The sequence below is a fragment of the Homo sapiens genome, chromosome 7 (genome assembly GCF_000001405.40).
Source record: "Homo sapiens chromosome 7, GRCh38.p14 Primary Assembly".
In the NCBI taxonomy this organism is placed as follows: Eukaryota; Metazoa; Chordata; class Mammalia; order Primates; family Hominidae; genus Homo; species Homo sapiens.
This window is the reverse complement of record NC_000007.14, coordinates 108501659-108526257: the sequence shown is the minus strand read 5'-3', so window position 1 is coordinate 108526257 and position 24599 is coordinate 108501659. Positions and strand designations below refer to the sequence as shown.

The following is a 24599-nucleotide window of genomic DNA, read 5'->3' as shown; positions in this document are numbered from 1 at the left end:
GGCCTGAGCGAGGCGGAAAATCCTCACCCCGGCCCGCGGGTAGACCCAAACTTCTAGCGCGTCACTTCCGCTGGGGGCGGAGCGGGGCGGGGCTGAGTGGGTGGCGACCTAGCTGCTGCGCCAGTGTTTGTGTTGGAAGCTCAGCTGATGCAGGCCGGTTGGAGTGGACGTCATTGCCGGGAACGAGCGAGTCGCCGCTGCAGCCCTAGTGACTGCGGCCTGCATCCCGGTAAGTAGCCGCGAGGGGACAGGGGCGGGACGATAGGAGGCTGGTTGATCGTTCTGGACCCTTGTCCGGCGCTCCGGGTCGTCCTTTCTTTCTTTGGAGGGCACTTCCCGAGCGAGAGGGTGGGGACACGCCAGGCTTTGGGGAGGAGCTGGCGCTGGAAGGAGCCCGCAGGTCCTGGAGCTCATTGGTACTCGGCGCCCTCCGCCCCCGTGGGCTTTGCTGCCCCAGAAGCGCAAACCGTATTTGGTTTCGCAGGTCCCGCCCTGCTCCCCCTGTCCCATCCCCACGACTCCCTCCTCAATTTTCCAGAGTCTGTCTGCCTTCCCCTGGACTGTAGTGTTCTCCAGTAGTTAACTGGTCACTCTCAGGAGGGTTTCCCTAGTCTACATCATTCTCGACTGTCAGTGTGCACCTGGTGATTCTACTGCCTGATATTTTTTGTCAGTAATCTCTTTCTGACCCCATCCACATTTGATTCTATCCTTGACCGCTGTTGCTTAAGTGGATAAGGTGTATGAATCACTGTGTTGCAGTGCTTCCTATCCCTGTGTCATTTCTATCATTGTGCTGGAAGGAACCTGCTTTCCACGCCTAATACAATGATAACTTTAAAATGGTGACTCATAGGAAAAACTCAGGAGAGTTGTGACATAAGGGACTATCATATAATCCTGCTTAAAATACTGTTTTCAATTCCAAAACAGTTGTATCCTGGTTCTGCAGTCCTAATTTCTGAGAGTTCAAAAATGACAAATGTTTCAGTGTATTAAGAAAATGCTGTTAAACAGTGAAACATTAAGAGCTTATGCCTTGTGAGGCAGTTGTATCAAGCCCATTTTAGCTATTTTGTTAAATTGCTTATGCAAATTAGTTGTCCTTTCAATATAAGAACATGTTTTTATTTCGTAATTATAATCAACTTTTTCTTAATGTTGATCTCTTTTTTTATTTCTATATCAGGACTAAATTAAAATCTTGTAAACGCCCTTTTAATGAGTGATGTTGAATGAAAGGGCCAGTTTCACTAGTTTAGCTATTCACTTGTTTCACATGCAAAGTTGTTACAAGAACAGCCTGTACTTTGAGTTGTTTTTTTTTACCCCAGTTAGAGGGGTTGTGCTGAAGCTGCATATTGCTTCACTCATGGAATATATATTTGTAAAAAGGTCAGAGTTAGAATGCTGAGCCATAGACACCTTCCTGTCCTGCCATTTTTTGTTGTTGTTGGGAGTCTCTCTCTGTCGCCCAGGCTGGAGTGCCTTGGTGCGATCTCGACTCACTGCAAGGTTCAAACGATTCTCTTGCTTCAGCCTCCCGAGTAGCTGGGATTTACAGGCGTGCGCAACCACACCCGGCTAATTTTTTTAAGTAGAGACGGGTTTCCCCATGTTGGCCAGGCTGCTCTCAAACTCCTGGCCTCAGGTGATCCGCCCGCCTCGGCCTCCCAAAGTGCTGGGATTTCAGGCCTGAGCCACCGCACCTGGCCAGTCATTTCTTAGTTCTTATCTTTCTCTGCAGTACTCAAGTATTTTATTCTGTTCATTATCCATTACTTGAAAAAATTTGGTCCTGTCTTGGTTTTCAGTGTCCTGATTTTTTCAGGGTGGCTTTTCTCCTGTTTTGTTTCCTTTAGAGTCTTTTCTTCCTCTTCCTAGCTCTGGGTGGCACTCAAGGCTCTACCCCTGTCGCTCTCCCTAAACCAGAGTTTCGTGTTTGAAACCCAAATATACTTCAGTGGGCATGTGAATATCCTGAAATATTATGGAAAATATAGTTTGTATTGCAAATACACATTTTTCAAGGAAGAAAAGCTTTACTCAGGTTGCCTGATCCCAAAATAGTCATGTATTATTACTGTAAACTATCATCTGGTAAATACGTCTAATGTTGTGGTTTCTGCTGCCACTATGCTGGTAATTCCACAAGTAAATCCACAGTCTGTGTACATTTCCATTTGAATGTCCCACTGTTACTTCATCCTGTGAATCCAAAAGAAAATGTGTTTTTCTCTCCTATTAAATTGTCCCCTTCACAGTTTTCTCATATTCGCAAATGGCACTCTCCGTATTTTTCAGATTTAAAACCTTAGAGCTCTCTTAACACTTCCCTCTCTTTACCCCATTCTTGGCTGTCAAGTCCTGTGTTTTGTTGTTTTCTCTTTTTTCCCTTACTTTCAAAGTGTTCAGAGTGGCCCTCTTCCCCACACTAGTACTTGCTGGGTGAGGTGTCAGAGCCCCAGCATCAGAAAGTGGTCAGCTTGGGGTAGTAGGGTAGTAAGAAAAATTTACCGACAACACCGTAGGTTTGAAAAGGAAAGTTTTATTGGATAGAAAGAGTGCTGCAGAAGAGTGCAGCCAGGCGCCTCAGCAAGAGAGGACAGCTCACCGCAGTGGATTTTTTCTTAGGGGTATTTATGGACCTTAAAGCAGAAGCTGAAGGGTAACTTGGACCATATTAGCCACGTAGGTCATGATCAGTGATTACATTTATAGACATTTTGGTGCTTTGATATCAGCAAAAGTTGCACAGTGAGTTTCGACATGCATACATTCTGGACATGTATAGAGATTCTAGTTACTTATAAATTTCTGGGAAAGAATCCTGGTACCAGATGCCGGCTTTAGCTAATAGAGAAGTCTAATTGTTTCTGAATTCCTCAGATAAGGAGCTTTCCCTCTGGATGGTCTGCTCGATGGCCACCAGGTGATCTTTGCTCTCCTCAGTACTGTTACCTTCAGACTGTTGTCACCCTTTTGACTGTTATATTAATAATTAAGTGACATACTCTGTAAATTCATTCTTTCCATCCTTAGCTGGGTCTCCATCTAACAATTCCCTTAATTCCTCTAGTTAAAACTCCATTCCCTTCTCTAAGTGTTTGGTCCCAGCCTCTCCGTTTTGTTTTATTCGTACCTCCATTGTATTTATACTACCTCTATTCTTCCTTGCTCTTTTTTCAGTTGATGATAGCATCTCACTTTACATTCTTCTTCCTGTGTTTTTGCCATCTAACTTCTGGCTGAATGTACTCTCAAAACACTTACCTTGCATTTACTAGTGTTGTGATTTGGGGGCAATTAAACTTATTGATTTTGTTGGTCATCTTTGTTTTGTAATTTTTGCTTGATAGTTGTAGTTTCTGAGAAAGGTGTATTAAATCTCTCATGATTATGAAATTGTCTAATCTTGTAATAGTTCCCTTATTTTGGCCTTTTGTACTGTATTTTAATGCCAAGTTGATAGGTGGTTTCATAAATTCGTCATATTGGAAAGAAACAATGCAAAATTCTTACCATAGCCTAGTCTCCATTTCCTGCCTGAATTTTGGGGTCTGTGACCCCAAAATATCTGAGACAGGTCTCAATCTAGAAAATTTTGTCGAGTTTAAGGACGCACCCGTGACACAGCCTCAGGAGGTCCTGCTGACATGTGCCCAAGGTGGTCAGATGCCACTTGCCTCTATACATTTTAGTGAGACATAATGCATCAATCAGTCACATTGGTTTGATTTGGAAGGGCAGGACAACTCAAAGGGGACGGGGCCTCCAGGTCATACAAAAATTTTCTAATTGGCGGTTGGTTGAAAGAGTTACTATCAGTAGAAGAAATGTTTGGGTTACCATAAGGAGGTGTGGAAACCAAGGTTTTATGATGCAGATGAAGGCTCCAGGTAGCAGGCTGCAGAGTGAATAGATTGTAAATGTTTTTTTTTTTTCTTTTTTTGTTTTTTTTTTTGAGAGGGAGTCTCGCTCTGTCACCCAGGCTGCAGTTCAGTGGCAGGATCTTGGCTCACTGCAATCTCCGCCTCCCGGGTTCAAGTGATTCTTCTGCCTCAGCCTCCCGAATAGCTGGGACTATAGTCACGTACCACCACGCCCGGCTAATTTTTGTATTTTTAGTAGAGACGGGGTTTCACCATATTGGCCAGGCTGGTCTTGAACTCCTGACTTCGTCATCCACCCACCTCGGCCTCCCAAAGTGCTGGGAGTACAGGCGTGAGCCACCACGCCCGGCCTGTAAATGTTTCTTATCAGACTTAAGATCTGTGTTGATGTGAATGCTGGAGGGGTATAATGAGGCACATCCAACCCCCCTTCCATCGTGGCCTGAACTAGATTTTCAGGTTAACTCTGGAATGCCCTTGGCCAAGAGGAGGGGTCTGTTCAGATGTTTAGGAGAGCTGCAGAATTTTATTTTTGGTTTGGTTCATCTTTATCATTCTATTTTTTCCCCTTACTTGCCTTTAACCACCTTGTAGTTCTTGCTGTTTGTCTCCAAATTGTGGGTTGTTTTTTCTCTCTGACTAGAATGCTTTTTTCCCAGATTTTCTTAATAATTTTCTTCCTCCCTTCATTCAGGTTTCCACTAAAATGTCAACTCAGTTCTGATCACACCATAAAATAGCACTCTGTGGCCTTCTTCCCCTCCTCCCGCTTTATTTTAATTCATGGCACTTCTCAGGCTGACTTTATACATTACGTTTATTATTTGTTTTATTTCTCAATAGATTGTCTTCTCCTCCAAGGTCTACATGATTACCTGAAGTTTAATAAGTAAGTGGATCATTCCTTTATTTTGTAATGTCTCCTTTTTATCCATAATTAATGCCTTTCCCTTATGTTTACCTTCAAAGGCTTTTTACCTTCTGATGGGTAGTTTAGGTCTGGTATAACATTTTTCCCAGTCCTGTATTTTCAGCCTTTCATTATAGGTGTGTTTGTAGCTAGCACATAGCTGGAGTTTTCATTTCTAAGATTTTGCTGTCCTTGTTTATTCTTGGTACAGTTCTCTTTTCGACTCTTTATTTTCCTTCTGTTTCATCTTTGAACATTTTAGACCTACTTAATTTTTTTCTATTTCTAAATCTTAGTTACACATTTTTTTTTCTGGCTATATTTGCTGATCCTCTCTGCAGGTGATGGTGCATTTCTTTGCATGTTTTGTAACTTCAGTGAGTTCATTTTCCATAGTGGTTGCTTGGTGTAGGATCCCATTGCCCATAGGGTATCTGCACCTTGAGGATAGTATGACTGCTGTTCCAGGCCTGTGGGTCCTCTTAAACCTGGAGATTTTTTACTGTTGACTTTGAGCATGGCTTTATTATTTTATAAAATTATTTTTTATTTTTTAAATTGCCAGATAAAGGTGTATGTATTTATGGTGTGCAACATGATGTTTTTAAGTATTATTTTCATTGTGGACTAACTAAATCTAACATATGCATTACCTCACACAGTTATTTTTCTGGTTTCATTTTACAGTCTCAGTATTCTTCAAGTTGAGCATGAATTTTTTTTTAAATGATATATAATATTTGTATATATTTATAGGGTAGATGTGATATTTTGATACATGCATACAATGTGTAATGATCAAATCGGTATTTAGAATATGCATCACCTTGAACATTTATTTTTTCTTGGGAATATTTCAAATCTTCTAGCTATTTTGAAATAACACAATATGTCATTGTTAACTATAGTCCCCCTACTGTACTATTCAAATACTATAACTCATTACTTCTAACTGTATGTTCGTACCCATTAACCAACCTCTCTTATCCCCTCCTTTCCAGCCCCCAACTCTCCCTCACACACTGTTCCTAGCCTCTGGTATCTATCGTTCTACTCTCTATCTCCATGAGATCCAATTTTTTTTAGCTCCTACATATAAGTGAAAACAGAGCATGGCTTTTTATCCACAAGTATTTTATATTAAGTGTTTTTGTGTCATTGGGGCTGCAGAGCTTTTATGTTAACTTGGCTTATCTTATTGACTGTAAGTCCCAAGGAGTTCAGAAGAGCCTTGTAGGGATCGAGGGAAAATTTCCCCTTCCACCTCTGCCGGTTTGCTGAAAATCAGCTGACAGAAACAGATTAGTAAGAGAAATGGCATACAAATTTATTAATGTGCACAGGTGAGAATCACAATGATTACTTAAATATCCCAGTGGGGCCCACATACTTATATAGCTATTTTCAGAGGGGAAGGAAAGATGGTGAATGGAGGTAATTCTCTCGAGCGGCAATAACTGATTACTAGGGAGAAGGAATGGACGGAGAGTTGGAAGGACAGAGACGAACTTGTATTCTCTTTGAAAACTGAATGAGCCTAAGAGACAGACTTTATCTTGTGAAAGTGTCCTTTGGGTGTGGTTACATTCTTCAGTCTTCTTTTCTGCAGCAAATAATAAAATTGTTTTCCCTTCTCCCTGAGGAGGAGAAGGGAAAACAATTGTTCCCCTTGGGGAATCTGTCTGGTCTTTTTGTAGATAGGGAAAAAGTCTCTTCTAGCATCTGTTGATCTCTGATGGGGCTTTAATTCAAAATACTTATACCAGGGAGCCATATTTTGTGGTAGAATTCCCTGGGCTCCTTCAGCCTGGAAGACAAGGCAGGCTTTGCTTTTTTTCTCTCTCTTCCTTTAGATAATTCTAAATGGCACATGCAATTTAGAAGGAAGGATTTTACTTCAGGCTGTTATCTTCTGGACAATTGGAATAGGTTCTCAGTTCCATCTTTCTTGGCATCATCTACCTCTCTCTCAATCTCTCTAGGTCCTGCAGTAAAACTAGACTACATGTAATCTCTGCACATACTATCTGTGCTTTCTTACATGCTTTCTTCTGTTTGCCTCTGTGTGTGTAGTTTTGTTGTTTGTTTTAGAGATGGGGTCTCTGTGGCTCACTGCAGCCTCAGATTCCTAGGCTCAAGTAATCCTCCCACCTCAGCCTCCTGAGTAGCTAGGACTACAGGCATGTGCCACCATGCCCAGCTAATTTGTTTTATTTATTTTTTTTTAAGAGACAAGGTTTCACCATTTATCTGGGCTGGTCTCAAACTCTTGGCTGTGTTTGTTTTGTTTACCGTTATTTAGAATTCTCTCCTTTCCTTCTCATCTTTACACGTGATGAATTCTCTTTTAAATTTGGCCAGTTTTTAACCTCTTTTTTTTTTTTTTAAACTTCCCTCGATTTTATCTCACTTTGTCTTTCATTCACATGGTACCTTCTGTTACAGTCCTTTAAATATTTTGCTTTTTCTAATTACAAAATAAAACCTCATTATAAATAATTCAGACACTAGAAAAGTAAAAAGTAAAAACCGTTCTCATTCCCTTTTGGTCCCATGCCTTAGTTCATAAGAATAAACAAACAGGTGCTTATCCTTTCAGAATCAATATGTGTATGTATATGTGTGTCCATAAGATTTCAACTGCATATGTAGATTTTCATTTTTTAATTTCTTAATATATGTGTGTGTGTGTGTGTATATATATATATATATATATATATATATATATATATATTCATGTGCATATAGCTTATATAGAACTGCAGATTGCTTTTTTTTAAAGACTTTTTTAAGAATAGTTTTTAGGTTCACAGGAAAATTGAGAGGAAGGTACAGACGTTTCCATATACCCCCTACCCTGACACACGCATAGCCACCTCCATTATCGGCATCACCCACCAGAGTGGTACAGTTATTATAATTGATGAGCCTGCATTCACACGCAGTCCCCCAAGTTCATAGTGTACATTTGGGTTCATTCCTGGTAGTGTACATTCTGTGGGTCTGAACAAATGTATAATTATATTTATCCATCATTATGATACTATACAGAGGATTTTTAGGGCAGTAAAAATACTGTCCTCTGTCCCCTACCTATTTATTCCTTCTACACACTGCTTTTGGCAACAGCTGATCTTTTTACTGTCTTCATAGTTTTGCCTTTCTAGAGTGTTATACAGCTGGAATCATACTGCTATGGTCCGAATGTTTGTGCCTCTCAAAATTCATGTGGAAATCATAACCGCTAAAGTGATGGTATTAAGAGGTAGGTCTTTGGGAGGTGATTAGGTCAGGAGGGTGTAGCCCTTAGGAATGAGATTAGTGCCCTTCTAAAAGACAACCCATAGAGCTAGTTAGTACCTTCTACCATGTGAGGACACGGTAAGAAGACAGCCATCTGTGAACCAGTAAGTGGGCCTTCAGCAGATACCAAATCTGTTAATACTGATCTTGGACTTCCCAGTCTCCAGAACTGTGAGAAATTTTGTGTGAAATAAATTTCTACTGTTTATAAGCTACCTAAGCCAGGCATGTGTACCTGTAGTCCCAGCTACTTGGGAGGCTGAGGCAGGTGGATTGCACGAGCCCAGGAGTTCGAGGTGGTAGTGAGTGAGCTATGATCATGCCACTGCACTCCAGCCTGGGTGACAGAGTGAGACCCTGTCTCTATAAAACACACACACACAGACACCCCATATTACATATATATGTAAGCTCCCCAGTTTATGGGATTTTGTTGTAGGAGCCTGAACAGACTAAGACACAGTATGTAGCCTTTTCAGATTGGCTGTTTTCACTTAGTAATATGCATTTCAGGTTTCTCACGGTCTTTTTATGGCTTGATAGCTCATGTCTTTGTAGCACTGAACAATTTTCCATTGTCTGTCTGTGGCACATACACATACCGTATATTGATGTACCACAGTTTATCCATTCACTTACTAAAATACATCTTGTTGTTTTGAAATTTTGGCAATTATGAATAAGGCTTCTGTAAACATCCTCGTGCAGATTTTATTATGGACTTAGTCTTCAGCTCCTTTGGGTAAATATCGAGGAGTACCATTGCTGGGTCATGTTAAGAGTATGTTTAATTTTGTAAGAAGCTACCGAACTATCTTTCAAAGTGGCTGTACCATTTTGTCTTTCTTCAGCAATGAGTGAGAGTTCCTTTTACTTTACATCCTCACCAGCATTTAGTGTTCTCAATGTTCTGTATTCTGGCCATTCTAATAGATATGTAGTAGTATCATGGTTATTTTAGTTTGCATTTTCCTGATGACATATGATGTGGTACAACTTCTTATATGTTTATTTGTTATCTATATATCTCCTTTGATGAGGTGTCTGTTACGGCCTTTGGCACATTTGTAATTGAGTTTGTTTTCTTATTGTCGAGCTTTAAGAGTTCTTTGGATATTACGGATGACAGCTCTTTATCAGATATGTCTGTTGAAAATATTTTTTCCCAATCTCTGCCTCGTTGTCTTATTCTCTTGACATTGACCTTCACAGAGCAGAAGGTTGGTTTTTTTTTTGTTTGTTTTGTTTTTGAGACAAAGCCTGGCTCTATCACCCAGGCTGGAGTGCAGTGGCACGATCTTGGCTCGCTGTAACCTCTGCCTCCTGGATTCAAGTGATTCTTCTGCCTCAGCCACCCGAGTAGCTGAGATTACCGACGTGCACCACCATGCCTAGCTAATTTTTTGTATTTTTGGTAGAGATGGGGTTTCACCATGCCGACCAGGCTGGTCTTGAACTCCTGACCTCGTGATCTGCCTGCCTCAGCCTCCTAAAGTGCTGGGATTACAGGCGTGAGCCACCACGCCTGGCCAGAAGTTTTTAATATTAATGAAGTCTACCTTACCAATTTTTTCTTTTGTGTATTGTGCATTTGATATTGTCTCAAAGTCATTGCCATTCCTAAGGTCATCTAAGTTTTCTCCTATGTTATATTCTAGTTTTATACATTTGCATTTTACATTTAGATCTGTAATCTGTTTTGAGTTAATTTTTTTGATAGGTATAAAGTCTGTGTCTAGATTAATTTGCATGCAGATGTCAGTTGTCATTTGTTAAGACTATTTTTGCCCCATTGTATTACCTTTGCTCTTTTGTCAAAGATCAATTAACTGTATTTAATTGGGTCTGTTTCTGGACTCTCTATTCTGTTCCATTGATCTATTTGTCTTTTCTTTTACCAATACCACATTTTTAAATTGGATTATTCTTTTCTTATTTGTATGTGTTCTTTTTACATAGTGGTTAAGAACCCCTTCTATGTTATATGCTGTAGTTTCTTCTAGCCTGACTTACTTGATTTAATGAGCACTTATTACTTAGGTAGTGAAATCTTTTTCACATGGCTATCAGCAGCTCTAGTCTGGAAATTCTTTCATATCCTGTAACTGTGTGGCTTCAGCATCTAGCACCATGTCTGGTATAGATTAAGTATTCTATAAATCGTTTGCAATGAATAATGTATAAGACCTGACCTTTTTCTTCAAGGAATTAAAGTCTAGTGTCACATAAAGTAGTCCAGAATTTAACAATGAGGAAGGGAAAAAAAAGCATAGTATCTAAATTGCATATTAAATTATGTGTTGTGCAACGGAAGACTTATCTATTGGGAAACTTCCCTAAATTAGTTCTTCTCCCTAAACATTCTATTCCTCATTTTCTTTTTTTATTTACCTCTATACTGAAAGTGAATTATTTTCTATTAGCTTAAAAATGAATTTTCTATCAGCTATAATAGGAATATTTTGTCTGCTTTTTTTGAGACAGCTTGCTGAGTTTAGTCCAAATAGTCTTGTGTTTTCTGTTATACCCAATTTCAATTTTTAACTTGAATTCTAATTTTTTTTCTTGCCATTTCAGGTAAGACCATGAATTATGGCATTTCTTAAATGAAGCGTTCAAGAAGTGAGAGAATGTCATAGAAAATAAATGATTTTTAAGTTATGTCTATTAATCTGACTGTAGATATATATATTTACCTCCTTAGTAATGCAAGAAGTGTTTGTGGGAAGCAGAGAAGCAAGCAACTGTATTTCTTGTTCTCACCTAAGCATTACTGGAGGATAAGCCACATCAGTCTACAAAGAGGTTTTCATACAAACATAATAAGATGTAAATGGACCAAAAGTGAAGCACATTCTTGCAGTAAGCACTGTTACTCTCCAAGCAACCATGGTTTACATATTGGGATTTTGAAACTTAGCACTTCTGCTCCCAAGGGACTTACAAAAGTGAACATTTGTATGTCCCGTATTAAAAGTACTTTGAACTCTGTTTCAAAGGCTGTTTTTGGCAATCAAAATGAAATGATTTCACGTTTAGCTCAATTTAAGCCAAGTTCCCAAATTTTAAGAAAAGTATCGGATAGTGGCTGGTTAAAACAGAAAAACATCAAACAAGCCATCAAATCTCTGAAAAAATATAGTGACAAATCAGCAGAAAAGAGTCCTTTTCCAGAAGAGAAAAGTCACATTATAGACAAAGAAGAAGATATAGGTAAACGCAGTCTTTTTCATTACACAAGTTCTATAACCACAAAATTTGGAGACTCATTCTACTTTTTATCAAATCATATTAATTCATATTTCAAACGTAAGGAAAAAATGTCTCAACAAAAGGAAAATGAACATTTCCGGGACAAATCAGAACTTGAAGATAAAAAGGTAGAAGAGGGGAAATTAAGATCTCCAGATCCTGGCATCCTGGCTTATAAGCCAGGCTCAGAATCTGTACATACGGTGGACAAGCCTACAAGTCCTTCTGCGATACCTGATGTTCTTCAAGTTTCAACTAAACAAAGTATTGCTAACTTTCTTTCTCGTCCCACGGAAGGTGTACAAGCTTTAGTAGGTGGTTATATTGGTGGACTTGTCCCCAAATTAAAGTATGATTCAAAGAGTCAGTCAGAAGAACAGGAAGAGCCTGCTAAAACTGATCAGGCTGTCAGCAAAGACAGAAATGCAGAGGAGAAAAAGCGTTTATCTCTTCAGCGAGAAAAGGCAAGTTGTTCAGTGTGCTTTTCGGTTCTATTACTTTTTGTCAAATTTATAAGTTTTATTTCCTAATGAGAACTAAGAAACTTTCATTGTTCTTTAGAGCAGTTTTGTATTCTAATCATATCTATTTAATATGTCTTTGTAGATTATCGCAAGGGTGAGTATTGATAACAGGACCCGGGCATTAGTTCAGGCATTAAGAAGAACAACTGACCCAAAGCTCTGCATTACTAGGGTTGAAGAACTGACTTTTCATCTTCTAGAATTTCCTGAAGGAAAAGGAGTGGCTGTCAAGGTAATTTCTAATTTATTTAATCTAGTTTTGTCTTGGAATAGAAGTACTAAAAAAAATCTAAAATGGAGAAGGCAAAGCCTTTCATTTTTCCATTTGAATTTTGTGGTTTTTATTATACATGTGATGTGTATTCAGTAATTACCCTATTTATTTTGTGACATACATTATGCTAATCAATTCATTTTATTTTGTTAGCACCAATATGTATACTTTGAAATTAAACATTTATAAAATAGAAAATAATCAGTTTATTAGTTGAATTGCCTAACAGCTGCCAGATTTTTCTTTAGTGCAATGTAAATATTTATACTATGTAACTGTTCTTTTAAGATAGGAGACATAATTCATATGTGAGGCTGTTGTTTTTATTTCATGGTCCTTTCGTATTTGAAAGTCTAAAAATTTGAATGACCTTACTCATAATTGAATTAGTAATCATATTAAGTAAAACAATGAGCTTTTCTTTGCCTCAGTTTTTTCAACTATAAAATAATGAAGATAATTTAGACCCACTTAAATGGACTGTTTTCAGAGAAGTGCTATAAAATATGACTAATGTGATTGAGTCTCTTTACATCTATATTATTAAGATTATTTGTAATATTTAATGAAAAATTTGAAAATATCATAATGATAGATACTGCTTACATTTCATTAGAAATCTATTAGTGCTTATTTTTAGCTTGGCATTCAGAAAATTGTTTTAACTTAGAACACATTTATTCTACTTTTTAACAATTACCTTGTTGAAAAATTGTCTTTGAATAATGTACCCATCCTTACTTGTGTATTGTATAACACATACATTATTATAGGTAGCTTCACTATTTTATGGTCCTATAATTTGGGATTATATTTTATATTTATATAATCTTACATAAAAGATAAGATTCTCAAATATACATATGCTTTTAAGTATATTTCACATTTCAGTGATATACTGAAAGCAAAGATCTTAAATAGAATTACATACTGGCTTAGTCCATTTGGGCTGTCATAATAAAATACCTTAGCTTGGGTAATTTATAAACAACAGAAATTTATTTCTCATAGTTCTGGAGGCTGGGCAGTCCAAAATCAAGGCACCAACAATTTGATGTCTGGTGAGAGTCCCGTTCCTCCTAGACAGCAGCTTCTCATGACCTACTTAGATGGCAGAAGGGGCAAGGTGGCTCACTTCAACCTCTTTTACAAGGCCAGTTGTACTACTGATGGATTTCTGAGTAGTTTTCAGTTGCAGTTTAAATAGTCTTGCTAATTGAAACTCTGAGGACTCTTTTATCTTGCATAACTAATCCCAAATCTAAGGACCTTTCAATACTATGAAAAAATGTAATATAGGAATATATATTCAGATCAATTATGAATAAAAATCTAGGTAGTCTGAAAAAAGTTGTCACCCTTCCCTTAAATAATCATCTGAAAAACAGTGAACTGGACAAATTGCATATAACGTGTCAGCATGTACACTCTAGTGTGAACTTTTCCAGCTAAACTTTTTGTTATTATCAAGAGTTGAGCTTTTTAAAAATGATAGAATTTTTATAAAACATCTGTATCAATTTTACTTTTTTATGTGTCTACCATATTTAAGGTAGCTAAATACAGGGAATTATGTCTGATACGTAATGCCCTAAAAAAAAATGAGTTACTTATTTTGTATGCTACATTTATGGCAGCCACATTTAGGGAATTGTCTGTGATAATTTTTTCACTGTGATGAAGGTGGTCTCCTTTCATTATGTTTTTTAATTAAAAAGAAGAACTTTGACTGTTTAGAAAGAAGGCAGCACAAAGCATTGTAGGGAATTAGAAGAAAGAAAAGATAAGAAAATAAAAATAATATATTTTACCCTCAGATTACCACTGTAATGTATTAGAGTTTATTTGTGTTCATTGGATTAAGCTTCCTTAAGCTCTAATAGCAAACAACACCGAAATCTCAGTGACTTAACAAAACAGTTTTATTTCTGGCTCATGCAAAGTTAACTGTGGGTTTGGGTGACTCTTTGGCACAGTGAACCTCCGTGTGGTGGTTACTTAGATCCTGTCCTGTTGTCTGTATTTTAATTGAGTCTTCCTCTCTGATTTCTGTGGCAAGGAAATAATATTTCAGCAGAAGTTGCCACGGGTTTCTTCTACTCACAATCTGTTTATCCTGTCCGATTGCATGGGCCTGAAAAGTACAACCTTCTGTATGCTTGGAAGGGGAAGCAAACAGTGTATTGGTGAACATTAGTAATGTCTGCACAGTATTCCTTCAGAAATCATTCTATGCACATATATACCAAAATAAACTCATTCTGTATATGTTGTTTTATAATCTGGTTTTTTAGCATATAATGTATACCTTTCTATATCAGTAAATGTCCCTTTATCCTGTACCCAGTTTGAAAATGTTATTTATGTAACTGATTAGATCCAAATGAGGGTTCAGTCTAGATCACACATTGCATCTGACTATTTCTCCAAGTCACTTAAAATATAACGCAGTCCTTCAGCCACACCTTCTTCACCTGCACCTTTAAAACTGATTTAATTGAAGACATTAGGCTGGTTAACAGGCAGAAAGACTCGCTTTCTGGATGTACCTGCCTTCTTCCTTCTCAGTGTTATTTGAAGTGTTCCTCTTTCCTTTTCATTTCCTGAACACTGGAATTTAAATATAATGGCTTGATTGAGTTAAACATTTTGTTGTTAGAGCACATTGTAGGTAATGTCATGTGCCTCATAATGCATCATATCAAGACACACATGACAATTAGTTGAACAACCATTAGTAATGCTAAGGATGACCACCGTGTTAAAGTGATGACAATCTGCTTCTCATTGGACAATTGTGCTAGAAGCATTATCTCATCAACCATTAACCTAATCATTTCCAGAACTAATAATTTCATTAGAGTTGCAGAATGACCAATGTCTAATTCTGTTACTCCTACATTATAATTGACATTCTTCTGTAAAGAAGAGCCTTCCTTCATCAACTGAAGCTATTTGGGTATTCTCAAAGGCAAATTTTACAAATTTTACAGGAAAGGAAAGAGAAATGCTTAATTTATTTGTATTTAGTTACCAGTTTTCTTTTTTTTTTTTTTTTTTTCCAATTTGAGAGCAGGTACTGTTTATTAACCAACCAGCTTAGAGAAATAGTCATGGTAGACACCTTAGTTCATTCTTCTAATAAGCCTGTTGATCTGGTCCTCCCTGTTGCCAGCATCTCCACCTTCTACAAAATGGGTGGTCTTTTTCTTCATTCCACCTCGTGGAGAAGACAATTTGAAGGGCCACAGGAAGTTATTTGCCTCTTTGAAGCGTTTTCCAACAGTATAGATCTCATGAATCAGATCCTCCATGCAGATGATGCCATATTTACCAAGAGATCGAGCAATCAAAGCGTTATCTGTCAAAGCAATTCGCTTCTTATTGATTTTGCCATAACCACTCTTGTAGATTAGTTCATTTACTGACTTCAGATTGGGGTACCCCCATGCAATATATGGCTCTACAATCCTCAGCATGTTAGTCGAAGCCTTGTTGAGCTTCACAAAGGTTCCATTGTAGATTTGACGAAGGCGAAGAAGCTGCAACACCTTTCGGACCTTTGGGCTCACGCCACTGATACCTCTGATTCTGATGACAAATGCCAGTTTGGGTTCTGCAGGTACAAAGTAGTTGCCAGCTTTTCTTGCCATCCTCGCCATTCGAATTTCAGTTCTGTACATCTGCCTATATTCCCTGTGATAGTGCTTTGCTTTTTCATAGATAAGCTTCCTCCTTGCCTTTCGAAGCATCTTTTGGGCAAACTTCTTTCTCAGGCGCTTCATCTTCAGCTCTGAGAAATTCCTTCGCTTTTTCTTAAGGGTTTCTGGCACAGCAGGAACCTTCTTCTTCTCTTCTACACCCACCATGGTTCCAGCCGGAAAAAGAGCTAGTTACCGGTTTTCTTTCTTTTTTTTTTTTTTTATTATACTTTAAGTTTTAGGGTACATGTGCACATTGTGCAGGTTAGTTACATATGTATACATGTGCCATGCTGGTGCGCTGCACCCACTAACTCATCATCTAGCATTAGGTATATCTCCCAATGCTATCCCTCCCCCCTCCCCCCACCCCACCACAGTCCCCAGAGTGTGATATTCCCCTTCCTGTGTCCGTGTGTTCTCATTGTTCAATTCCCATCTATGAGTGAGAATATGCGGTGTTTGGTTTTTTGTTCTTGCGATAGTTTACTGAGAATGATGATTTCCAATTTCATCCATGTCCCTACAAAGGACATGAACTCATCATTTTTTATGGCTGCATAGTATTCCATGGTGGATATGTGCCACATTTTCTTAATCCAGTCTATCATTGTTGGACATTTGGGTTGGTTCCAAGTCTTTGCTATTGTGAATAATGCCGCAATAAACATACGTGTGCATGTGTCTTTATAGCAGCATGATTTATAGTCATATGGGTATATACCCAGTAATGGAATGGCTGGGTCAAATGGTATTTCTAGTTCTAGATCCCTGAGGAATCGCCACACTGACTTCCACAATGGTTGAACTAGTTTACAGTCCCACCAACAGTGTAAAAGTGTTCCTATTTCTCCACATCCTCTCCAGCACCTGTTGTTTCCTGACTTTTTAATGATCGCCATTCTAACTGGTGTGAGATGGTATCTCATTGTGGTTTTGATTTGCATTTCTCTGATGGCCAGTGATGATGAGCATTTTTTCATGTATTTTTTGGCTGCATAAATGTCTTCTTTTGAGAAGTGTCTGTTCATGTCCTTTGCCCACTTTTTGATGGGGTTGTTTGTTTTTTTCTTGTAAATTTGTTTGAGTTCATTGTAGATTCTGGATATTAGCCCTTTGTCAGATGAGTAGGTTGCGAAAATTTTCTCCCATTTTGTAGGTTGCCTGTTCACTCTGATGGTAGTTTCTTTTGCTGTGCAGAAGCTCTTTAGTTTAATTAGATCCCATTTGTCAATTTTGTTTTTTGTTGCCATTGCTTTTGGTGTTTTGGACATGAAGTCCTTGACCATGCCTATGTCCTGAATTGTAATGCCTAGGTTTTCTTCTAGGGTTTTTATGGTTTTAGGTCTAACGTTTAAATCTTTAATCCATCTTGAATTGATTTTTGTATAAGGTGTAAGGAAGGGATCCAGTTTCAGCTTCCTACATATGGCTAGCCAGTTTTCCCAGCACCATTTATTAAATAGGGAATCCTTTCCCCATTGCTTGTTTTTCTCAGGTTTGTCAAAGATCAGATAGTTGTAGGTATGCGGCGTTATTTCTGAGGGCTCTGTTCTGTTCCATTGATCTATATCTCTGTTTTGGTACCAGTACCATGCTGTTTTGGTTACTGTAGCCTTGTAGTATAGTTTGAAGCCAGGTAGTGTGCTTCCTCCAGCTTTGTTCTTTTGGCTTAGGATTGACTTGGCAATGTGGGCTCTTTTTTGGTTCCATATGAACTTTAAAGTAGTTTTTTCCAATTCTGTGAAGAAAGTCATTGGTAGCTTGATGGGGATGGCATTGAATCTGTAAATTACCTTGGGCAGTATGGCCATTTTCACGATATTGATTCTTCCTACCCATGAGCATGGAATGTTCTTCCATTTGTTTGTATCCTCTTTTATTTCCTTGAGCAGTGGTTTGTAGTTCTCCTTGAAGAGGTCCTTCACATCCCTTGTAAGTTGGATTCCTAGGTATTTTATTCTCTTTGAAGCAATTGTGAATGGGAGTTCACTCATGATTTGGCTCTCTGTTTGTCTGTTGTTGGTGTATAAGAATGCTTGTGATTTTTGTACATTGATTTTGTATCCTGAGACTTTGCTGAAGTTGCTTATCAGCTTAAGGAGATTTTGGGCTGAGACAATGGGGTTTTCTAGATATACAATCATGTCGTCTGCAAACAGGGACAATTTGACTTCCTCTTTTCCTAATTGAATACCCTTTATTTCCTTCTCCTGCCTAATTGCCCTGGCCAGAACTTCCAACACTATGTTGAATAGGAGTGGTGAGAGAGGGCATCCCTGTCTTGTGCCAGTTTTCAAAGGGAATGCTTCCAGTTTTTGCCCATTCAGTATGATATTGGCTGTGGGTTTGTCATAGATAGCTCTTATTATTTTGAAATACGTCCCATCAATACCTAATTTATTGAGAGTTTTTAGCATGAAGGGTTGTTGAATTTTGTCAAAGGCTTTTTCTGCATCTATTGAGATAATCATGTGGTTTTTGTCTTTGGCTCTGTTTATATGCTGGATTACATTTATTGATTTGCGTATATTGAACCAGCCTTGCATCCCAGGGATGAAGCCCACTTGATCATGGTGGATAAGTTTTTTGATGTGCTGCTGGATTCGGTTTGCCAGTATTTTAGTTACCGGTTTTCAAAGTAAGGTGTTGCTTTAATAGCTGCCTCAGTGATTAAATGAATTTTTTTGCACCTTTAAAAAAAATATTATGGACTCCTTGTTTTTCTAAGTTAAATGTGTTTCTTTTTCTTTTTTTGGGAGACAGAGTCTCTGTCACCCAGGCTGGAATGCAGTGCCATAGTCTTCACTCACTGCAACTTCTGCCTCCCAGGTTCAGCCCAGCTCAGCCTCCTGAGTACCTGGGACCACAGGCATGCACAACCACACCCAACTAATTTTTGTATTTTTTGTGGAAAGAGGGTCTCACCATGTTGCTCAGGTTGATCCCGAATTCTTGGGCTCAAGCAATCTGCCTGCCTTGCCTCCCAAAGTACTGAGATTATAGGTGTAAGCCACCTCACCCAGCCTGTTTCTTTTTTTTTTTTTTTTTTTTTTTTTGAGACAGAGTCTTACTCTGTCACCAGGCTGGAGTGCAGTGGTGTGATCTCAGCTCACTGCAACCTCCACCTCCGGGGTTCAAGGGATTCTCCTGCCTCAGCCTCCCGAGTAGCTGGGACTACAGGCGCCCGCCACCACGCCCAGCTAATTTTTGTATCTTTAGTAGCGATGGGGTTTCACCATGTTGGCCAGGATGGTCTCGATCTCCTGACCTCAGGTAATCCACCTGCCTCGGCCGCCCAAAGTGCTGGGATTACAGGCGTGAGCCACCGCTCCCAGCCTCACCGAGCCTGTTTCTATGATCTATTTTCTCCCCTTCTCTTTTTTAAAATGCTGAATTTGTCACAAGGATTCATACATCCTTTGGGTTTATTAAAAAACTTTTTATAAAAATATTATATATAGAGAACAACACAAATCGTAAGTTTACAGTTCCATGATTTTTCACACATGAAATACATCTATATAACCACCACCCTGAATGAGAAACAATCTTATGAACACTCCAAATACTGTTCCCAAAAAGGTTGATCAGTTTTTCAGAATTCTAGCAGCATAATTTAGTTGTGCCTCTTTTTGCATGTTCTATGAATTATACAGCATGTGTTCTTATATGTCTGGTTTTTTTTTTCACTCAATATTATGTTTGTGAGAACCTTCTATATTGTTGGGTATACTTTTCATTTTTCCCTCTATTGCTAGACATTTGGATGGTTTGCAGTTTGGGAATATTTAGTAGTAGTACTTCTGGGTTATATCTTTTGGAAAACATAGGTCTTCGTTTCTTTGGAGTATATACCTAAGAGTACTATTGCTGCTCACAGAGTGAGCATATTTGTAACGTTAGTAGATACTGCCAAATGGTTTTGCATAGTGCTTGTGCCAATTTATTCTTTCACCAGAATTCTATGAGGCCTCTGTGTTCTACTTTCTCTCCAACACTTTATTTTGTAATTTTTTTTTTGAGACTGAGTGTCGCTCTGTTGTCCAGGCTGGAGTGCAGTGGTGCGATCTCGGCTTGCTGCAACCTCCGCCTCCTGGGTTCAAGCAGTTCTCCTGCCTCAGCCTCCCGAGTAGCTGGGATTACAGGTGCGCACCACCACACCCTGCTAATTTTTGGTTTTTTAGTAGAGACGGGGTTTCACCCTGTTGGTCAGGCTGGTCTCCAACTCCTGACCTCAAGTAATCTGCCCACTTCGGCCTCCCAAAGTATTGGGATTACAGCCGTGAGCCACTGTGCCCAACCTTTTTAAATCTTTTTAATTTGAGCAGTTTTGTTGGGTGTTAAGTGATACTAAATTATGGTTTTAATTTTTTATTTCATTGATAGCTATGATATTCAGCATCTTTTCCAGGGTTTATTGGCCATGTTTATACTTCCTTGTGAAGTACCTATTCCAGATCTTGCCTATTTTTCCATTGGGTTCACCAACTTTTTCTTCATTATTTGTAGAATTTTAAAAATATATTACGGTTGTAACTCACTTGTCATATGTGCGGTATGTATGTGTATGTCTTACAAATCGTTCTCCTATTCCGTGGCTGACCTTCTCACTCTTGTGTTTTTTGATGAACAGATATTCTTAATTTTGTCCAATTTATAAATACTTTTCTTTATAGTTAGTATTTTGTGTCCTGTTTAAGAAATCTTTGCCTATCCTAAAGTCATAAAAGTATTTTTGGCCAGGCGCCGTGGCTCAGGCCTCTAATCCTAGCACTTCGGGAGGCTGAGGTGGGCAGATCACGAGATCAAGCGATCAAGACCATCCTGGCCAACGTGGTGAAACCTCGTCTCTACTAAAAATACAAAAATTAGCTGGGCTTGGTGGCGTGCGCCTGTAGTTCCAGCTACTTGGGAGGCTGAGGCAGGAGAATGGCTTGAACCTGGGAGGCGGAGGTTGCGGTGAGCTGAGATCACGCCGCTGCACTCCAGCCTGGCAACAGAGTGAGACTCCGTCTCAAAAAAAAAAAAAAAAAAAAAAAAAAAAATATATATATATATATATATATATATATATATATATATATATATATATATATAAATTTTCTTGTGTTTTCTTCTGAAACCTTGCTTTGCCTTTTACTCTTCTATCTAGTATTCATCTAGAATAGATTTGGTTGTGTGGTGTGTGTCAGAAGTCCTGACTTTTAAAAAATACACTTATCCAGTTGACTCAGCACCATTTATTGAAAAGACCTTTATCATAAATGAGATGTATATATGGATCTGTTTCTAGACACAGTATTTTTCATTTATGTATTTTTTGAGATGGAGTTTCGCTCTTGTTGCCCAGGCTGGAGTGCAATGTGCAATCTTGGCTCACCACAACCTCTGCCTCCCAGGTTAAAATGATTCTCCTGCCTCAGCCTCCCTAGTAGCTGGGATTACAGGCATGCACCACCATGCCCAGCTAGTTTTGTATTTTTAGTAGAGATGGGGTTTCCCCATGTTGGTCAGGCTGGTCTCGAACTCCCAACCTCAGGTGATCCACCCACCTCGGCTTCCCAAAGTGCTGGGATTACAGGCGTGAGTCACCATGCCCAGCCAGACACAGTATTTTGTTCCACTGGTATATTTGTGTGTGGTTGTGCTGATAGTGCACTGGCTCAATTTTTGCAGCTGTATAAACCTAGGTAGTATAAATCCTCCAACCTTGTTCTTCTCAATGTTGTTGGCATGGCTATTCTTGACATGTTATATTTCTATATGAATTTTAGAATCACCTTATCTACAAAAAAATTTTTAAAAGAGAAAAACATGGTGGGATTGCAGTGAATATGTGGAACAATTTAGGGTGAATTGGGTCTTTGTTGAGTTTCCAAGCCATGACATATGGCATATTTTTTCAATTATTCGGGTCATCTTTATTTTCCTCCTGTGTTTTAAAAATTTTCAGTGTTGGGTGTCTTTTACATCTTCCATTGGAATGATTTTATTTAACTAATTCATAGGTATCTGATATATTTTGATAATTTTATTTTGTTATTTTTATTTCAACATGTTTTTGTGGTAATTCTAATATGAACATCAATTCTTGGTTTTTGTAATTCGGTACTGGATTCACATACGTTATAGTTTTTCTGGATGCTGGACATTGTAAGTTTAAAAAATTGCATAAGCTCTAGATTATATCAAATTATATCTTTTTCTGGGGTTTATTTGTTCTTCTGTTTGGCATTTGAGTGGAGCCCTGATAGCCTTAATTCAGTTAGGGTCAAATCTGGATCAAGGCTGTATTACAGTTTGGGTAAGACCTCTAGTTTGCCCTGATTTTTGGGCATATTCTTCCAGGGTGTGTTCACTTAACCACCATCTCATTGGGTCCTAAAATCTCAAGAATACAAAGCCTTCCACTCTGATTTTCAGAGGTCTTCGGCTTACCTTTTGCCTTCCACACCTCATGATTTTAGAATTCAGCAAATGTCTTGAGGTAAAGCCAACCATGTGTTTGAAGCCCTTCAGGTCTTCCATTTTTTTCACTCCAAACCCCTTAGATGCTAAACGATCAGCTGGTTTCTCTGTCCTTTATTTGGGGCCCTCTGTCTGAGTCAGACTCACTTTTTTGGTCCTTTACTTTTTCCTGGAATCAGCAAATGCCTCAAGGGAAGAAAAGCTATAGTTTACCAGCTCACTTCCTAGCAATTACTCCTTCTCCAGATTCTTGGCTCCATCTGTTCTTGTTGCTTCAGCAGCTCTCTGTCTGATGCCTTTAAACAGATGGTACTTTTCTTGTATTTCATCAAGATTTTCTTGTTGTTGATGTGAGCGTTGATCTGTAACAGAGTATTTCATCTTAACCGGAAATGGAAATTTGCATTATTCTCCACCATTGCTCAAGTTCCTCTAGTGGGGCCTCACAGCTCAATATTAGGGGAAAAAATATTGAGAAAGAATTTAGAGTATTTCAGGTTGATTGATCATAAAAAAGAAACAAAATGAGTGATACCTAGGAAAATTGTTTGATTTACAGAAGGTTGCACAGCAGAATTATAGCTGCCACTCAGCCATTCCATTAAACCTGCGGTACTGACTATGTAAGATGCTTCTGTGTACAGAAGCTAGAGAATCTTTGGTAAGCAACATAGAACTCTAGGATTTAAGCTCTTGTCTGTGATCAACAATATGATGTTGAGTGCTTAGAATCTTGAAGTCTCAGGTTTATTTAAACTGATTATTTAATTGTAGTGGCCTGCTTTTACCTTCTCACCTCAGTTACCTTTGTTAACATTTGTTTGTATTCTTTTATGAGGCAACCTTGAATCCCATATGCAATGTATACAAGATGGTTCATTATTTCTTTTTAATAACAGTTTAACTTCTAGTAGTTACTGTGAATCAGTTTTAGCCTCTTAATCTCAGGATTTGGACTAAATATTATACAAAATTTATAATGTTAACCTTTTGTTATAATAATTTGTAAATTTCTATAAATTATATTTTCTCTAGTTAAGTATTACATCTTTTAATGAAAACTTTTGAATATTGGTTAATTTTTGTCCTCAATATTAGAACAAATGTAATCTAGAAAATTGACATTAATATATCAAAAACTAATCTGTCTTATAAGATTACTGAGAAAGTAATGAACACTGTCACCTTGGTTGTCATGTGGTGAACTGCATGTATTGGTTAATAATAATCATACATTTTCAGTCTTGATTTGACAAAAGCAACAAAGTATCTTTTCTCTCAATATAGGAAAGAATTATTCCATATTTATTACGACTGAGACAAATTAAGGATGAAACTCTTCAGGCTGCAGTTAGAGAAATTTTGGCCCTAATTGGCTATGTGGATCCAGTGAAAGGGAGAGGAATCCGAATTCTCTCAATTGATGGTGGAGGAACAAGGTAAGGCTAGGAACATGATTCTTTTTTTTTTTTTTTTTTTTTTTTTTTGAGATGGAGTTTCCCTCTGTTGCCCAGGCTGGAGTGCAGTGGCACAATCTCAGCTCACTGCAACCTCTGCCTCCCAGGTTCAAGCGATTCTCCTGCCTCACCCTCTCAAGTAGCTGGATTTACAGGCTCCCGCCACCATACCCGGCTAATTTTTGTAGTTTTAGTGGAGACAGGGTTTCACCATATTGGCCAGGTTGGTCTCAAACTCCTGACGCCAGGTGATCTGCCTGCCTTGGCCTCCCAAAGTGCTAGGATTACAGGCGCGAGCCACTGCGCCCAGCTGGAACATGATTCTTAAAAACTACAGATTCAATTCAGCTTTAGGAATTAAAAAAAAAAAGATTTGATATAAATAAAATCAAATTTTTAAAATAAAACATGAAATTGTTTTAATTAATACTTTATTAATCTAAGTGCTACTCTGACATATACTTCAGTTCTTTGGTTTGATTTGGTATTTATATTTTTGTATTTGATTTGATTTGATTTTAGTATTTATATTTTTATATTTGGCCTTTTTAGACCTTTTTGGTAGTTCAGAAGCTTATCAACCATTATTCTCATAAAACCTTGACAGTGTTTTATAATTTTAGCTTTCATTTATTATTTTATTTTTTTGGAGACAGAGTCTTGCTCTGTCGCCCAGGCTGGAGTGCAGTGGTGCGATCTCAGATCACTGCAACCTCTGCCTCCCAAGTTCAAGCGATTCTCCTGTCTCAGTCTCCGAAGCAGCTGGGATTATAGGTGTCCACCACCATGCCTGGCTAATTTTTTGTGTTGTAAG

General features: G+C 38.3%; 1 protein-coding gene and 1 pseudogene across 13 annotated transcripts in view, besides 3 other annotated features; one reads left to right on the top strand and one right to left on the bottom strand.

Annotated features, from left to right (window-relative positions):
* PNPLA8 (patatin like domain 8, phospholipase A2) overlaps positions 1-24599 on the top strand; it is a 57762-nt gene that overhangs the window by 1921 nt on the left and 31242 nt on the right. For 6 of the 13 annotated variants that reach the window (XR_007060039.1, XR_007060036.1, XR_007060038.1 and 3 more), the window contains exons 1-5: positions 123-229; positions 4737-4782; positions 10811-11822; positions 11965-12114; positions 23616-23767. Coding sequence is in view for 9 of the 13 variants with exons in the window: in XM_011516275.4 (XP_011514577.1) it covers positions 148-229; positions 4737-4782; positions 10811-11822; positions 11965-12114; positions 23616-23767 (1442 nt within the window). In the remaining 4 variants the exon portion in view is untranslated. Of the gene's footprint in view, positions 1-122; positions 230-4736; positions 4783-7956; positions 8069-10683; positions 11823-11964; positions 12115-23615; positions 23768-24599 lie in introns of those variants that run through there. The other 7 variants (NM_001256009.3, NM_001256008.3, NM_015723.5 and 4 more) reach the window with 6 other exon arrangements.
* Positions 26-986: an enhancer, noted in NCBI's record as "H3K27ac hESC enhancer chr7:108165716-108166676 (GRCh37/hg19 assembly coordinates)". NCBI's record gives its function as "activates a minimal SCP1, AML or CMV promoter by ChIP-STARR-seq in naive H9 embryonic stem cells {active_cell/tissue: H9 hESC(naive)}" and the evidence as "EXISTENCE:reporter gene assay evidence [ECO:0000049][PMID:30033119]".
* Positions 135-254: an enhancer, noted in NCBI's record as "active region_26502". NCBI's record gives its function as "activates an Ori minimal core promoter by ATAC-STARR-seq in GM12878 lymphoblastoid cells {active_cell/tissue: GM12878}" and the evidence as "EXISTENCE:reporter gene assay evidence [ECO:0000049][PMID:35858748]".
* Positions 1666-2201: an enhancer, noted in NCBI's record as "H3K4me1 hESC enhancer chr7:108164501-108165036 (GRCh37/hg19 assembly coordinates)". NCBI's record gives its function as "activates a minimal SCP1, AML or CMV promoter by ChIP-STARR-seq in primed H9 embryonic stem cells {active_cell/tissue: H9 hESC(primed)}" and the evidence as "EXISTENCE:reporter gene assay evidence [ECO:0000049][PMID:30033119]".
* On the bottom strand, positions 15216-16045 carry RPL7P32 (ribosomal protein L7 pseudogene 32; annotated as a pseudogene).